Source organism: Homo sapiens, chromosome X, assembly GCF_000001405.40.
Source record: "Homo sapiens chromosome X, GRCh38.p14 Primary Assembly".
In the NCBI taxonomy this organism is placed as follows: domain Eukaryota; kingdom Metazoa; phylum Chordata; class Mammalia; order Primates; family Hominidae; genus Homo; species Homo sapiens.
The window spans coordinates 123404689-123423069 of NC_000023.11; the positions used below are offsets into that span (position 1 = coordinate 123404689).

General features: G+C 38.7%; 1 protein-coding gene across 2 annotated transcripts in view; it reads left to right on the forward strand.

Annotated features, from left to right (window-relative positions):
- GRIA3 (glutamate ionotropic receptor AMPA type subunit 3) overlaps positions 1–18381 on the forward strand; it is a 306638-nt gene that overhangs the window by 220411 nt on the left and 67846 nt on the right. For both annotated transcript variants that reach the window (NM_000828.5, NM_007325.5), the window contains exons 10-11: positions 20–226; positions 12714–13090. In NM_000828.5, the coding sequence (NP_000819.4) occupies positions 20–226; positions 12714–13090 (584 nt within the window). The remainder of the gene's footprint in view (positions 1–19; positions 227–12713; positions 13091–18381) is intronic.

Here is an 18381-nt window from a genome sequence, read left to right on the forward strand (position 1 = left end):
CTTGCTTCTGGTCCCAAAGGAATCACCATATGTAATGTACAAGAAGAACCATGAGCAACTGGAAGGAAATGAACGATATGAAGGCTATTGTGTAGACCTAGCCTATGAAATAGCCAAACATGTAAGGATCAAATACAAATTGTCCATCGTTGGTGACGGGAAATATGGTGCAAGGGATCCAGAGACTAAAATATGGAACGGCATGGTTGGGGAACTTGTCTATGGGGTGAGTTTTTTCCAATTCTGTTTTCATTTATTCTGTGCTTTCCAATTAACAAAGAAGAGAGAAGATTTAATTTTCAAGTGCAGTGTTTATCCAATTGTATAGTTTACATATAGTCTACAAGAAAAATATATTCTTCTACAGTTGCGCTCTGTAAAGGTAGGTTGTCAGTAGTATCCTTTGGACAACAGGATTATTTTACTAAAAGGAAAATAGAATTGGGGGATTTTATTTGGCAACATTAAGCACAGCCTGCCCTCTATTTAAAATCTGTTCCTTCTGTGTTCTCTAGCTCAGGCAGCAGAATTACCACCCACATAGTTGCCTAAGCAACTTTGCCTAAGCAACCTCATCATCTTTCCTCATTGTTCCCCTCTTATCTAGTCAGTCACCATGTCCTATGAATTCTACTTTTAAGTCTCTCAAATCTAGACACACTCTTCACCCCCACCATCGTCACCTTAATTAGGGTTCTTAACATCTATCAGTCATTTAACTTGTTACCCTGCGTCTGTTCTTACCCTGGCAAATTAGATCTCCACATTACTGTAATTTCCCACTTTAACAATCAGGATGAAATTCAAATTCCTTCACATGGCAAATAAGGCACTTTATAATCTAGCACCCGCCTACCTCTCTAGCTTCATCCTGTACTCTTTCCCCCTCACACCCAATGTTCCAGCTATAGAAAAGTAAGTGTTGTTCCCTGAAGGTGCTGAGCTCTCACTTAGTATAAGCCTGGAAGTACTTTTGTGTCTCTTCAGCAGCTAATACCACCTACTAGTCCTCTGAAACACAGCAGTGATACTTGTTTCAGAAAACCTTCTCTATTCGCATCTACTTGCCTGCAGTCTGGGTTAGGTACCCCTGCTTTTTGCTTCCTTCCTTTCCATATTCATATAGTACTTCTAAGTCTGTATTGTAATGATCCATTTACAAGTTCCACTGTTCTACTAGACTATGAACTCCTCGAGGACAGAAGATGTAGCTGATTCATTTCAATATCACACAGTCTGAAACATAGACATTCAATAAATCCTTGCTGAATTAATGAATGAAAAATGAACAGAATGGCTCTGCCAGGGGCTTATCTATAGTCCAACTGCAAAAGAATTAATATGGGCAATTAGGGCTTTTAAGAAAGGTACAGTGATATCTTCAGAGCTCCTGGTTCACTTAGTATTAAATGGTTTTGGCCTCTGATTGTGAATGACAGATCTTGGGCAGCTTAATGAGGCACATGTAAATAAGCAGAACTGGACAGAAAAACTGCCCATGCAGTAAACCGGTCACTAGAGAACTAACCCAAGTGCAGTGGGTGGTGGCAAAGGTTTAGTTCTAACAAACAAAGATTACCTGTAATAATAACTCTCTGTCTAGACAATATCTACACTAAGTAAGGGGAAGACAGAGGAATCTAGGAGGTAGAGATACTGAGAAGCTCCAGCTGGCAAGAAGCAAACAACCAGGTTATTTATTTATTGGACTGAGGTTCAGGAGAAGGACTCTAGTGCTTGGGATGGAAACCAGCAAGAATAAGGTATAGCTCTCCAATCATATGAGAGTACTGGGGTCACTAAATAAGTTCTTGGAACAGGCCTTTGGGAGGAACCACAAAGTCGGAAGCTCATTTCTAAAAATAAGGGCACAGAAAGGTAACAAAAGCAAAGCTGGACCCCAGATATAAAAACTGGAGCACCATCCTCTAGTCAGATGAACAGCAAGGCAACTTGAACCTCAGCCTCCATCTACGGGCCTGGAGCCATCATCTCCTGTCTTGGGTCAAGATCGGTCCTGGGAACTGAGGCAGGGCTAAGTGGCAGATGAGATTCAAGTGAATCCAGCAGTAAGAAAGAGAAGAATTTCCAACACCAGTGCAGAGAGGGCTGAACAAGGGTCAGAGCACCCAGTCATGATTTCTGAGGACCCTGAGAAGCTCTGAACCATCTTGACATGGCTCTAATCTTTTACTTTCCAAGTTGTTGATAAGGTTTTCTTCTCTTTCCTGTTCCTCATCTCCCCAACACTTAGGCTTCAAGAGGTCTTGTCTTGCTTACAGCTCACCCTTGCTCTTGGCACATTACCTGATACATAGTAAATGCTCACTTTTTGCTTTAATGAATCAATGCCTGGCATACAGTAATGCCTAAGCCAGTATTCATTAAATTGAGTTCATGGTGGGATATAATCTTGTAATATCATTACTATTTCTATTACTACTACTACTATTACCACTACTATTACTACTACTACTGCCATTATTAGCTACCATTTGTTGCATATTTACTGGCTGCCAGATACTGTACTAAGTGCTCTTATATGTAATTTAATCCTCACAACACGCCTCTGGGGAAGGTGTCATTATTAAACTCTTTCTACATGTGAGAAAATTGAAGCCTAGAGAGGTGAAGTCACATGCTAAAGACCAAACAGTTTACAGTGACTATCTTAGTTTGTTTGGACTGCTATAATAAAACACCATAAACTGGGTCACTTATAAACAACAGGAATTTGTTTTTCACAGTTCTGGAGGCTGGGAAGTCCAAGATCAAGGGAGATTCATTGTCTCGTGAGGGCCACTTTCAGGCTCATAGATGGTACCTTCTTCCTGTGTTCTCACATGATGGAAAGGGTAAGGGGTCCCTCTTGGGCCTCTTTTATAAGGACACTATAAGTTCCATTTATGAGGGCTTCACTCCCATGACCTAATCACCTCCCAAAGCCCCACTTCCTAATACCATCACCTTGGGGGTTAGGATTTCAACATATGACTTGGTTGCGGGGGGGGGGGGGACGTGGGGACACAAATATTCAAACTGTAACAGTGATACAATAACTTTAACCCAGATCTTTGACTCTGAAGTCCATGCTTTTTAACCATTACACTATCTGCCCAACAGCTAAAGTGTGGTTTCAGGCCCATCCCATTCTGAAAGATAGTTGAAATTTATTAGAAAGGCTTATGGTGCCTTAGTCATTCTGGAGAGAAGAGTGTTTGGCAACAACAGCATGGCAAGAAATTTAAGGCGTAAGTGTCTTTTTATTTTATTTATTATTTATTTATTTTTGAGACAGAGTCTTGCTCTGTCAACCAGGCTAGAGTGCAGTGGCATGATCTTGGCTCACTGCAACCTCTGCCTCCCAGGTTCAAGCGATTCTCCTGCCTCAAGTTCCTGAGTAGCTGGGACTACAGGCACCTGCCACCTTGCCCAGCTAATATTAAAAATATTTTTTAGTAGAGATGGGGTTTCACCATGTTGGCCAGGTTGGTCTCAAACTCCTGACCTCAAGTGATCTACCTGCCTCGGCCTCCTAAAGTGCCGGGATTACAGGTGTGAGTCACCACGCCCAGGCTAAGGTGTAAGTTTCTACTAGCCCAGGTTATCCGATGTGAGCTATACCATGAACTCTACCACCCCATCACAACTGAATGACCATATTTCTCCTGTCACTCTCTGTAAATAGATCACTGCTCTCCTGGCATTGAGGAAGACATTACACACAGTGACATAGAGCAAGGCAGACTTATTGACATTGTTCAGACAAAGACCAATTTTCTCACTGGATTTGTTTTCTCCTCCAGCATGTTCCCTGTACTGCACTCATTTAATCTCCACATATCTCTTCCTCATTCCAATTTGTCTACTTGTGAGTGAGGGAGCTTGAGTATTAGAGTCCCTCATTTGTTTAGCAACTTAGATGCCTTCTCTCCACTTCTGAATAGTAAAAGTGTTCCCATAGGAACCTTCCCATCTTTTCCCTTTAGTTCTTTCTACTAAAGACAAAAGCAATAGCCGGGGAGGCTCTTACAGAAATGTCCTCCTCCTTCCCCTGCCTAAAACAACTTTCTGATGCTTTCTGGGCTTATAACAGGAGGTGATTCCAGAGAACTACAGCAAACCAACCCATCGGAGAAGACTGCCAAATTCCATTTTCCTCTAAAACCTGTGGCTATGAAAAATATACATTCTTATCATGCTTGGAGTAAAAGCTCTCTGTTAAAGAGGATGATCTCATGAGCTAAATGTGTCTTCATCTTCATTTAGAAGTTTTAGTCTTTTGGCATTGGGAAGTTTTCAACTTCTCTATCAATGACAGAAATGGAGAAAAATGAAAACACAGGCTTTCATTTCTGGCAGGCCTGGCCTCTTGTGGTTTGCAAGTTGCTTTAAAAAAAGAAGAGCAGAAAACCCCTAATGATTTCTCTAAGTTCTTAATGAGCAAAAAGATGGAGAACAGGGAAATATTTCTTGCAGTGAACATGAAACCTATACAGATAGGCACTGCTTTATCTTAAGGGTATTTCTCTTATGCTTTTAGTATGTAAAACAGAGCAGAGTGGAAAGAATGAAAAAAATCAGAGATGAAGAAAGCTCTGCAAGGGAGATTTCAGTGTCAGTCATAAAGTTTCAAGAAAGAATCAAAATGAATTAAATTTGCTAAAGAATAAGGAAGCCAATCAGCCTCTTTTCAGATGATTTATAAATAGGTTTTTTTCTAAGGAAATTCAAATCAGGTTGATGTTGGGGCACCTTGTATCTCTAAGAAGGCTATTTTTGAAACAAACCTCAGTAGGACACAATGTGCCCCATTATGTAAGCCCTTCAGAACATCATGGACTTGAAACTGTCCACCTGCTTTTAGCAGTTTTGATTTTGAGCTGGATGTCTGTAACACCACTACATGGTAACAGTCCCAGATCAAATGGCTTACAGACCACAAGTTTTTATGGCTTCCAAATACCATATGTTTTGAGGGCACTTAAAAACAGCATTTTTTGCTAGCAGGGCTCTTAAACATCCTTAATCCTACCTTACCATTCATTTTTTACAAATGCATATGGGGACCAGCCAAGATCAGACATCAGAACTGCCCCTCAGGTAATCAGGAATCCAAAGCCTGATAAAGGACACAGGTACAGCAGTGGCAGCAGGATTGGACAAAGTCACAAAATCCCACAACTTGGCAACACAGGTTTTGTGACTCATGGTCTAGTGCTCTGTCCACTGGGTCACACTGGCTCAGTTCACTAAACTTGTGAGATTATGGAAATATTGGTGTTGTATCAATCAGATACAGCATCCCCACCTGGCTCTAAGGGGCTTACAATCTAGTTGGATTATAAACTTTTCCATCTAAGATACTTATTTTGCTATTTTTCATCCAAGATACTCATCCTGCTTATTTATGGCCTCCAGGATAATGTAATCCACATTTCTAGTTATCACTCGAAATATTTGAAAACCCAATATAGACAGCTGGGGGTTCTGCCCTTAGAGAGGAGATATGATCTAAGGGAAAAAGAGAGTCAGGAGAAAGGCTAAAAGGAAATTGAGGCCCCAATTAACAGAACACCTCCCAGTGGGCAACTGCCATGTTCCTTATGTTCCTAGCAGTTACAACTAAGGATAAAGAAGAAGGGGGTTGCTTTGGGAAAGGCTTGACAAGCTGCTGCTTAAATTGCTTCTTCTGACTTAGAAGATAGCAGAGAGCCTGGGGGTAGTAATGGGGCTGCAGGGATGGTTGATTATAGGTCATATTCCCTGGGTGTCCCCAGACTCCTTCACGCTCCCAGGACACATGGCAACTTTACAGATACTATTTGCACTGACATTGCTCTGCCTAGAAGAAATTATCTCTTAGGTCGTCACTATCCTAAGCTGGATTCATTTTCCATTAAGAAAGGCAGAGAGTCGATTTGTCCTTCCAGCTAAAAGGCAGAGAAGCAAGGGTCCAGTAACAGATGCCAGATATTCTTCAGGTGATTATACTGGGCTTTGGCAGAAGGGCTGATGATTTGATAAAAGTCCCCCCTCCTTCAAATGATGCATGTAACCTCCAGGAAGGAGCATTAAGGACACATGAAGTATGCCATTCGAAGCAGAAAGAGTGGGGAAAATATTTCCAGCTAAACGTAGTCTCACAAGGCCTTCATCCAGCTACAGAGACACTTTTTTATCTTGATATTGTCTTTAACTCTCTCAGCTCCCCAAGGACAAGGAGCCCTAATCAATAGATCCAGTCGGGGATACCTGTTCTGGATAAAGAAATTAGGATATTCTGTTGTGACACTGCTTGTTGTTGCACAGATTTAAATAAGCCTCATTCTTTTCTCCAGATCTTAACAATTGCAGACAGTAAACATCCCATAGAGTACTGCCAATAAATCAGTTTAAGTCTTGTCCCCCAGCACACAGCAATTATATTCCTATTGTCTAGCTTGATTCTGCCCCACTCCTGTTTTCAACACATATCAACTTTCCAAAGGAAATGTCTGCCAAAGGCAACTAGAGCCCTGTGGTTGATACAGGGACAAAGGGTCAGGTCATGTCTGCTTCTTCTCTTGGATAACATATAGTACATTATGATTACACATCAATACATTGTCTACTTCCTCTCTCCTGTCCCCTTCCCTGCTTTCAGAAAGTGTTTTAAAATGGTGTCTGACAAGCTCCTGCTCATTCGTAGTCTCATGGTGGGTTACAAGTTTTGTATCAGATAATCAGATGAAAATTCTTAAAGATATAACAAGCTTGCAATCTCAAAGAGATTAAAATTACGTTTAAAGTCAGTGTCATCTCTGGCTAAAACCTGTCAGATTCTTAAGTGCATCAGCCCTACACATATGAGTTTGTTGGTTTTTAAGTTTTATAACATTTACAACTTTGGCAACCCACCTATGAAAAGGATTATAAATCCCCTCAAGCTAAATCCTCTCCAATAATGCAGTTGCTCCATGTTTGCAACTGGTGAGTGGAAAATTCAAACCTAATTCAGTGTGTTTACTGAGCCCACACAGCCACATTTAGGCTGCTTGATTAAAATCCTTTAAGTAGTCAAGATGCAAGCAAAAGTACTAGTAAACTCTTACTCTGTGCTCTTTCCATTTGCTTGATTTTGTCTGTCAATTGGAGCACCCTCATACCACTACTACACACTTACCCACCTAGGTTTCTGAAAATAACTTGCCTACTGCTATTACCAGTGCAAGCAGAGGCTTGAGGACAACTGGCCACTGGAGTGATTCAGGACACCCCAAGAGAGGCACTTCATTGTTGAGTCAGAATTTCACCTACTCCCTAACCCCATCCATAATTCTTACCACTCTCTCTCCCAGCCTACAGCTGGCTTTCATAAGAGCAGAGACTAGGAAAGGAATTCCATTTGAGGACTTACCTTTTTCAGTTTTTCATCAGTGTGGGCCTCCTCAATCTTTAAGTTGCCTTGAAAGTGACCTCTCCCTTTACCTTCTTGCTATGGCAATCCCAGGAGAGCTCAATGGTTATTTTTGGATGCTAGTTAGTTACAGGGTGGAGCATATAACTAACTAGTGTTCAAAATACCTACTGAGCTCTCTTGGGACTGCCATAACATGATTGCCCCACATAAATTATGCCAAGCAGGTCCTATGCTCTGAAATAACCAATTATCACAACAACTTATTTTAACATTTATTTTACGTTCAGGGGTACATGTGCAGGTTTGTAATATAAGTAAATTGCATATCACAGGGGTTTGGTGGACAAAAAACAACCCCATAAAAAAGTGGGCAAAGGACATGAACAGACACTTTTCAAAAGAAAACTTACATGCGGCCAAAAACTGCCTGTGGGAATAGTGGTGATAGAGGGCAAGGGCTTTGCCAAGGCTGGCTCTGAGCTGACATGAGTTCTGCTGCTTGGTTTCTTACCAAACATACAAGAAAGGAGAAGAGTTGCTAAGTCTCCTACCAATAGAAGGGAAGGGAGCTACAGATTCTGCCTCAAGCTGTCCTTGAGCCTTCTTCCACCTGCCTTCTTCCACCTGCTTTTTGCTATTCCCTTGCCTTTTTCCATCTGTAATAGGTATTTTTTAAGGTTCATCATGGGGAATTCTCCTTTTGGAGTCAGGTCTACATCAGTGAGGTACAACTGAGCACAGATTTAATGCCATTCTTGATTGGGAGAGCACCCTCCAAAACATAGACAAATTCCACATTTTTTGAAAAATCTCCTTAGAAAGAAACAATCCAGAAAAAAAAAATACAGAAATGCCAGGCTGAGGAAAAAAAAAGGCAGTGCCTAAGGGAAGCAGATGATTCTTCCTGTTGTCTTTTGTGATTTCAGAAGTACTTCAAACTAGGAATGGCCTTCTTTGGGAATCTGTTCTTTTGATGAATGTTCCTGGGAATCAGACAACAAAAAGTCCTGCTTTATCCATCTGGCCACGTCTTGTTAGTATTTAGTGGTGCTTACCATGTAGTAGGTGTTTCAATTACCAAGTAGGGTTTTTTTAAAGGGGTCAAGATTCTCAAACTCCTTTCTGTACCTTCTAGAAAAGACCCCAAATTCCTTAAATTCATTCCAAAATAATTTTCTCATGTGAATGCCTTCTTATTTCTTTTTTCTAAAACAAACAAGTAACAATTTCTCCTAGAACTATCTTTTAGACTTAAAAGATGAAAAATACTGGTTAAATTAAGTAATTAAATTCAAATGAAATCAAGTGAGAAATGATACTAGAGGGGTATTTGCATGCTCTGAGCAGGAGACAGACATGTTGGCAAAGAGAGGAAGTGGCTTTATCTGTGAATTCTCTTGGCATGACAAGACTCTTTCTAACTGATTCAGACTCTCTCTGCCAAAAAAAAAAAAAAAAAAAAAAAAAAAAAAAAAAAAAACACTCTGCTAGCTTTCTGGCCAACTCATTCTCCTCAGTACCCTTTTTTACTATGACCAGGTCTAGCTTCAGGCAAAAGGGTAAAATAGATGAAAATTTGTCTTTGGCTCCCCTCTAGTTAGTAACGTGGAACTGGAAATTCAGAAGTTAGCCACGATGAGATGAGAGTTGAAACCACAGGTAACAATACTGAGGGATGAAAGTGAAGGACAGAACCTTAAAGAACAAACCTTCATTGATTATCTCCTAAGACAAGCACTCTGAATAGTCCCTTGGGGTACAAAGGTGCACCTTAATTGAGAGAGCAGAACTAGGAAGGAAAGTCAAAGAAGGAACATTCAGAAAGGTAGGAGGAGAACCTGTAGTCTTTCATAACAGAGAGCTAAGGAAAGCACGTACATAGTGCAAAAGGCCAATGGCATCACACAAGCAGTTAATGTCTGAAGGAAGATATTTGAATTTAGTAGCCAAGTATATAATTCAAGAAACAATTTCAGTAATTTGGAGGGGCTGGAAATTAAGTCTCAGGGGTATAAGGAGAAAGTGGTGTTGATATCAAGACAGTAAAGCTGTCTTTTTTCAATAATACTGGTGGTGTTAGGGAGGGATGTAATGTGGTTAAGAAGGCAGCAGGATCAAAAGGTGGGAGGAGTGTTTTCTGTTTCATTTTTGTCTGTTAGTAAATAGGATTACCTGAAAATGATTTTAAGTGAATAAAACAGATCAATGATTTTCAAATTATAGCAAGCATTACAACAAACTGGAAGGCCACATGAGTCTCACGCCTCCACAATTTCTCATCCCATACATCTGGGGTGGAGCCCGAGAACTGGCATTTCTTTTTCTTTTTCTTTTTTATTTTTTTTATTATACTTTAAGTTCTAGGGTACACGTGCACAACGTGCAGGTTTGTTACATAGGTATACATGTGCCATGTTGGTTTGCTGCACCAATCAACACGTCATTTACGTTAGGCATTTTTCCTAATGCTATCCCTCCCCCAGCCCCCCACCCCCGACAGGCCCCAGTGTGTGGTGTTCCCCCACCTGTGACCATGTGTTCTCATTGTTCAACTCCCACCTATGAGTGAGAACATGTGGTGTTTGGTTTTCTGTCCTTTTGATAGTTTGCTGAGAATGATGGCTTCCAGCTTCATCCATGTCCCTGCAAAGGACATGAACTCATCCTTTTTTATGGATGCATAGTATTCCATGGTGTATATGTGCCACATTTTCTTAATCCAGTCTATCATTGATGGACATTTGGGTTGGTTCCAAGTCTTTGCTATTGTGAATAGTGCCGCAATAAACATACATGTGCATGTGTCTTTATAGTAGCATGACTTATAATCCTTTAGATACATACCCAGTAATGGGATCACTGGGTCAAATGGTATTTCTAGTTCTATATTCTTGAAGAATTGCCACACTGTCTTCCACGATGGTTGAACTAATTTACACTCCCAACAACAGTGTAAAAGCGTTCCTATTTCTCCACATCCTCTCCAGCATCTGTTGTTTCCTGACTTTTTAATGATCGCCATTCTAACTGTGTGAGATGGTATCTCATTGTGGTTTTGATTTGCATTTCTCTGACGACCAGTGATGATGAGCATTTTTTCATGTGTCTGTTGAACTGGCATTTCTAACAAGTTCCCAGGTGACTCTTTTGCTGCTAATCTAGGACCCATACTTTAAGAGCCACCGGAATAGATTAGTGGAGAAGGGAAAAATTAAAGATGTAAAAGAGATAGTAGATAGAGCTGGGTTTTAAGAAGCGACAGAGAAATATAGAATGCATGGAATAAGTTGATCAAATCTTAGAAAGTGTCACTTTCTGTGAGATGGAAACACACAGAAGAAATGTATAAAGATGCTGCAATATGTTGACAAAGTTGGGGGAGGGGGAACTGAGATGATAGAGCTTATATCAAATGGCTTCCATCTTCTCAGTAAAGAAAGAGGCAAGATCATCTGCAGAGAGGATAGGACTGATAAGGATTAGGAACTGGGAAAAGTTTGAAATAAGCATCATCCACAGACACAGAGGAGAATCTACTTTTGGGGGGATAGATGGGTTAAATTTTAGAAATGATGAGTTTGAAATGGTGGTGAGCCTCCAAGGTAGATTTGATCAGTAGGCAGTTGGCTTCAATAAACCCATGCTTTCTGCAACTTCCACTAGGATGTAAAGGATGTAGGATGCCCTCCATGCAGGTAAGTATTTTTGTCTGTTTTGTCTGTCTTGTTCACTGCTTCATTCCTAGCACCTAGAATAGTGCTTGGCACAGAATAAAGACTCAAATTTGCATTGGAATGAACCTAAGAGGGGTTGGCTAAGGTTGATAATTGCATATAAAAGTAGTGTATAGTAGAAACCTGCAAGTATCTATGGAGTTAGAACATTATGTTCATTAAGCAACTGGGTTCTGGAATCTGAAGACCAGGGTTCTAATCCCAGCCTCTCTGTGCTTTAGTTTCTCCATCTCCAACATGGGAATGGTGATTGTACCAATATCAAGGTTACTGTGAGAATTAAATGACATAGTAAGTGTAATGTGCTTAGCAAAGTGCCTCATATAGAATAAGCACTCAATAAATGTTAGCTAGCTGTTTATCATCTGCATTTCCCTTTCAACTAATTAAGGAGTATTCCTCAACTGGTTTATCATATGTAATTCAAAGGAGTAAAATTTCATTTCTTTGAAAATATACTCTATATCAGACTTCCCTACCTCTGCCCTTTGGTAGGGGTATTGAGGCATTACTGTTCTGAACATAGAAAAAAAATGATCAAAACTTGTGTTTTCACTTCATATATGATATACCATCCAAAAGCCTTTCCTTAGTCAGAAGGATTTTTCTTTGTGTGCATTTTAAGGCCTGGCTTCAGACTATGACTTACTACTGTTGGAAAGGAACAATTACAGAAAACAAAAGAAATAAATGTAGAAAATCCTAGTGCCTATTTTCAAGGGATTAATATAAAAAACATTGCCTGCCTTTGCCTAAGTTAATTGTGCAGTGCACTACTGACATTTATTTTATTGATTCAATCCATGTGAGTGCTACACTGATATTATCACTAGAAAATATAGCTTACTACATAAATTGTGTTCTGACAACTGTTTTACCCTTGTTATTGCCCAGGCAAAATTCTTTCATGTTTGCATATGTCATATACAGTAATCAACAACTTATTTTTTAGGCATCTACAGTTTCTTTAGTTTAGAATCTGTTGCAGTGATACATACAAAAATAGAAGATTGAGTCTCTGCCTTCAAAAAACCTGTTTTAAAAGATATGCTTTCAAAAAAATTCAAGAATAACATAAGACAGCAAACACCTAAGAATTAAACTGCTGTGGCCCTGTGTGGCACCTCATGGTGTAGAGTGAAGCAGATATAAGAAGTATAGGATATTATGCCTGCTCCACAAGAATTTTCAGTCAAGTGAGGGAGATAAGACATAAGAACACGAAAATTAAAATAAGAAAACGAGAGTTAAATAGTGACATGTCACAAGGCAGTACAAGTTGTATTATAAGGTAGCAAAAACACACTATTAGGAAAAGAAAGCAGAGTCGGTTGCTCTAAGCCAATGTGTCTCAGAAGACAAAAGGCCAGCACCCTTTCTTTAATTTACCATCAAGTTAAAGCACTTTAGAACCCACTGAATGCTACCACTTTTCTAACCTAAGCATTGATAATTCAATTGGTTGTAAAGATTTAGGACTTGATATTTTCACCAAAGAAGTATATTAAGCGACAAATAACTGATTAAAGACTGTCTCTAAAAGTCATATATGTTTTCTTTTTTTTCTTTTTTTTCAGAGAGCTGATATAGCTGTTGCTCCACTCACTATAACATTGGTCCGTGAAGAAGTCATAGATTTTTCAAAGCCATTCATGAGCCTGGGCATCTCCATCATGATAAAGAAGCCTCAGAAATCAAAACCAGGCGTATTCTCATTTCTGGATCCCCTGGCTTATGAAATCTGGATGTGCATTGTCTTTGCTTACATTGGAGTCAGCGTAGTTCTTTTCCTAGTCAGCAGGTTCAGTCCTTATGAATGGCACTTGGAAGACAACAATGAAGAACCTCGTGACCCACAAAGTCCTCCTGATCCTCCAAATGAATTTGGAATATTTAACAGTCTTTGGTTTTCCTTGGGTGCCTTTATGCAGCAAGGATGTGATATTTCTCCAAGGTTTGTTTTTGTGGCATACTCAATGCCTCATTGCATTTTATGGTCATACTCCATTCATGTACATATGGTATTCATCCATCTCAACTCCAGATTTTTTTCATTTAACATTCCATCAAATGACAGATTATCATCAAGCCATTGTGTTTGCTTATGTCCATGAAGTGAGTGTGTCATTGGTGTTGCTTTGAATGTCTTTCATGCATTTCTATGGTATTGTATATACATTAAAACAAACATTTGAACTCTGGATAAAGGCAACATTGCCACTAATATTAATATTATTCAGATAAAGTAAATACTAAATCTTCATCAGATCAAACAGACATGGTTTCCTAATTAATTGTACTGAAGTGTTTTCTCATTTCTAAAGAGATTGGATCCAGACAAAATTTAAAAGAACATAGAACTCTTCTTTAAATCCCTCCTACCTTCTCCTTTCAATGCCCTCCCTTTTTCATTTTGCTCTCAGACTGCCTACAACTATCCATTATAGTATCCCACCCAAGTTTTCTAGTTAAAACTATAAAACTTCTCAAAGAAAACATAGGAGAATATCTGTTTTACCTTGGTTTGGACAAAGTGCTCTTAGATAAGACACAAAAAGCACAATCCATTAAAAATTTGATAAACTGGACTTCATCAAAATTCAAAACCTTGCATTTAAAAAGACGTATTAAGAAAATGAAAAAAAAACCCGACTGGGAGAAAACATTAGTAAATCATGTGTCTGATAAAGGACTTGCATCCAGAATATATAACACCTCTTACAACTCAATAAAAAGAAGACAATCCAATTTTTTAATGGACAAAAGATTTGAATGGACATTTCCCCAAAGAAGATATATAAATGGCTAATAAGCACAACAAAAGATACTCAACATTGTTGGCCATTAGGGAAATGCAAATTAAAACCACAATGAGATGCTTCCATACATCCTCTAGAATGGCTGCAATCAAAAAGATAGGCAATACCAAGTGCTGATGACAATGTAGAACAACTGGAACTTTCATCCACTAGTAGTGGGAATGCAAAATGCTACAGCCACATTGGAAAATAGCTTGGCAGTTTCTTATCAAGTAAGATAAATACTTAAAATATAACACAGCAATTCTATTCTTAGCTATTTACCTAAGAGAAAGGAAAACATATTCACACAAAAAGTTATACACAAATGTTCATAGTAACTTTATAATATTAAAAAAGTAGAAACAACCCAAATGTCTATCAACTCGTGAATAAATAAACAAAATATTTTATATCTATATAGTGGAATACTATTCACCAATTAAAAAGAACAGACTACTGACACATCTATAACATGGATGAACCTTAAAAATGTTATGCTGGGCCGGGCGCGGTGATTCATGCCTGTTATCCCAGCACTTTGGGAGGCCAAGGCAGGTGGATCACCTGAGGTCAGGATTTCAAGACCAGCCTGGCCAACATGGTGAAACCCCGTCTCTACTAAAAATACAAAAAATTAGCTGGGCATGGTGGTGGGCACTTGTAATCCCAGCTACATGAGAGGCTGAGGCAGCAGAATCACTTGAACCTGGGAGGCGGAGATTGCAGTGAGCCGAGGTTGCGCCATTGCACTCCAGCCTGGGCAACAAGAGCAAAACTCAGTCTCAAAAAAAAAAAAAAAAAGTTATGCTAAGTGAAATAAGCCAGATGCAAAAGGCCACATATCATGCCATTTGAATCCCATTTATTGAATATCTCATATTGTATGATTCTATTTGTCCAGAATAGGCAGTCTACAGAGACAGAAAGTACGTTAGTTGTTGCCAAGGGCTTGCAGGGAGCAGAGAGGGGATAATCAGGGCCAGTATCAGGGTGAGGCAAGTGAGCCTGAGTAAAGCAAGTACAGGGATCACATCCAAGCTTTATTTAAAATTTTGATATTATGCATTAATTTTTTAAATATTGGACTAAAATTCTATTTATCTTGATTAATGAGATTTTGATGCCCCTTTAAACTTTGCATGTGGGGAAGTTGCCTCACTTGCCTCATCCTAGTCCTAGGCCTGCCAGGATTAACTGCAAATGAGCATGAAGGAACTTTTTAGGGTGATAAAAATGCTCTAAAATTGGATCGTGATGATAGTTGCACAACTCTACGTTTACTAAAATCACTGATCGTACACTTGTATTGGTGAATTTTATGGTATGCAAATTTTATCTAAGAAAAGCAAAATATTGAACATGAATGTCCTGAGCCTCACAAACTTAGTCTAAACCTAAACAAATATGGCGGTGAATTCTTAATCATAATACATTGTAGGTGACTGTAACATCTTTATATTTTGAGACAAAAAAGCTGTAGGTTTTGGTAAACTTGAACATTAATCCAGATACTGACCAGAGTCAATTATACAAACACATTAGGGATTTTCATGTGAAATATAAAGACTCAGAAGAGTCCTACCATGTTTTTACAGCATACTTCATTTTGAGATTATCCACTTGGACCATAAAACATTTAAAAAGAAGCTTTGCAGCATAACTAATTGGTAACCATATTCAGCAGCTTTTTAAAATAGTCTGTATGGGGTATGCCTCATTTATCGAAGTCACACTTTTTTTGGCTTTTCTCAATCTGCTTGATTACATTCTCCAAATTATTTCACTCCCTGTTCCTTTTGTGCTTAGAATGTATGTCATTTTTTGTATTATCTGGGAGTTTATTTTGCTAGTTTCTTTATTTTTTGAAATGTTCACTTCAAGAGACTATGGTTTCTGAATGATCCTATAATTAAATGATTTTTAACATGGCTGGTAATCTATGTTGAGACAATACTAAAGAGTCATTAAGGCTCAAGATTTTATTGGTTTCTGTAAGTGAATTTTCAGAACTAAGTTTGTGGTATCCCCATTGGAGTGCTGCATACTACTCTGCATACTCAAAAAGCACTCTTCTCATTTTTAGAAGAATTTATATATATATTGATTCATTAAGTAATAACTTAAAGATTATGGCCTGAAAATGACAAGTTGAACAGGTTTGTTAATGTCTTATAGTAGAATGTAAGCTGTGGCTCTTCTTTGGCACTGAGATATATCAAATGCTTTTTTTCAAAGTATGTATTTTATTATACTAAACTAGACACTGTCATAAAGAGCAATGGCTTTCAAAATTTTTTTTACCATGACCCACAGTAAGAAGTAAATTTTCCATCACAACTCAGTATACACATATGTATATAACCAAAGGTTCACCATACTTTACCCTTACAATGTGCAATGCACTCCGATATTTTCTATTGTGTCATTTTTTTTTTAATTCTGGTTACAATTCAACCCAGAAATAGGGCACACAACCTACAGAATAACACTAGCCTAGAGTAACAAATATTATTCTTACTATACTTTTAAGTAATAAATTATTGCCTTTATGAGCTCTATGTTTTCCACCATATGGGTGATCCCTCCTCCAATATTGTCTTTTGTGTGTCTTTCGAAATAAATTATACCTTTAAGCATTTTAATAAAATGTTATGCTTCTTAGCATATTTCTGATATATACTAGTGAAGAGGAAACATGTTTCTCCTTGTCTTGAGAGCTCTATTCATTATATGTTTGTGCTCAATTGTATAACAGCAATCACTGTGATGTTTCTAGAACTATTAACAGATTTAGAAATTTCTGATAATAACACAGTTGTTACTCTAAGATTTGTGGTTGCCTTGACTACAAACACCAGCAGTATACTTTATTTCTGTTTAATGGCCACAGTTGGAATGCAAACTCTTCAGAAAGCCCAGAATGTGAGCATGCATTATACACTCTGACTTTTCTCAAAATTGAAGCAATTCAAGAAATTATGAGACCACATTTTAAAGTAGAATTTAAGTATTAGAGCAGGAGAAAATGTCAGACATAAATTAGCCCAACTGCTTCCATTTACTGGGGGCAGAGGGACAACAACCACCTTCCCTCAGCTCCCACTGTGTATAGGCACTTTACCTCCATTATCAGGTGGATTTTAATCCTCAAAACACCACTGCAGCGTGGGCATTATACTTATTTTTAAGTTGAAGAAGGTGATAGTCAGATTAAATAATTTGCCCAGCCACACAGCTAATGGCAGAGCCTGAGTACAAACCAAGCTCCAATTCCAAAACATGCTCTTTCCACTTCATGCTGCTTTTTCCAATATCACAGACAAGGGAACAGCACCCGAAGGATGATGTGATGAAATCCAAGGTCATGGAGGTTTTCAGAGGCAACAGTATGATTATTTCCACTACTGCACACTGCCTCCTACTACCAACCTGAAGTTGCACTGTTTGTTCCATTCCTCTCCTCATGCTCAGGCATAAGAGCTGTTTTCCATTCTTTCAACCTCTAAAGAAACTCTACCTTTTTTCTGGTTTGCAATGAAAGAAGGCAGTGAGCATTTAAAATATTATCGAGAGTGTGTATGCTCAAAGTAAGAGACTGGGAAATCAGAAACAAGACATCATGAGAAAAACTGATGGCATCATTACATTTCCACCAAATTATTCACAGCTACCTAGAAGCTTAAAGAGTCTATGTCAATATTAGGTTTGAACTACCATAATTGTTCAGAGTGAATAAGTTTGTTCTACATGAAGCTGGAGGCTGAGCTAACTCTAGAGAAGGTAATCAATATAATAACCTGAGGTTTTGTCCACATACAAACTGATTTATTAGGAGGAGTCGGTGGAAGGTACGAGGAGATTCAATTCAACCTTTTTCCCCCTGAGTGGGGAAGGAGAAGACAGGCAATGGGTACAGGCAGATGGAAGAAGCATAGTGGTTAAGCACGTGGGCACTGGAGTTAGCCTCACTAGATTCACAATCTGCTTAGCAGTTGTGTAACCTGGGGCAAATCACTAAACCTTGCTAAGCCTCAGTTCTTCATCTGTGAAATAAAAAGCACAGTGCCTAGCATGTAAGTTCTCAATAAATAATAGCTATTGTCATTATTAAATTGGCTGCACATAATCATGCTAGTTTCACAAATACTAACAGCTAATATAACATTTGCATTTTAGTTCCTAAAACTCCTTGGGAATACAGTTGAAATACCAGTTAGTATCAAAGAGCTGACCTCTGATGAGAAATAACCAGCAACACTCCTTCTTGAACTTGCTTTTGTTAAAGATTACAACTCTTGCAAATATTTTTATTGTATTATTCTACTATGTCTTACTGATATTGGCTGGAAGTTGTAACTTTATTTTTAATACGAAATTTATTTCCTTTGTAAAACTTGGATAGAACCACTAAGCAGTCCAGAGTCCAAGTCCTTCCAGACAAATG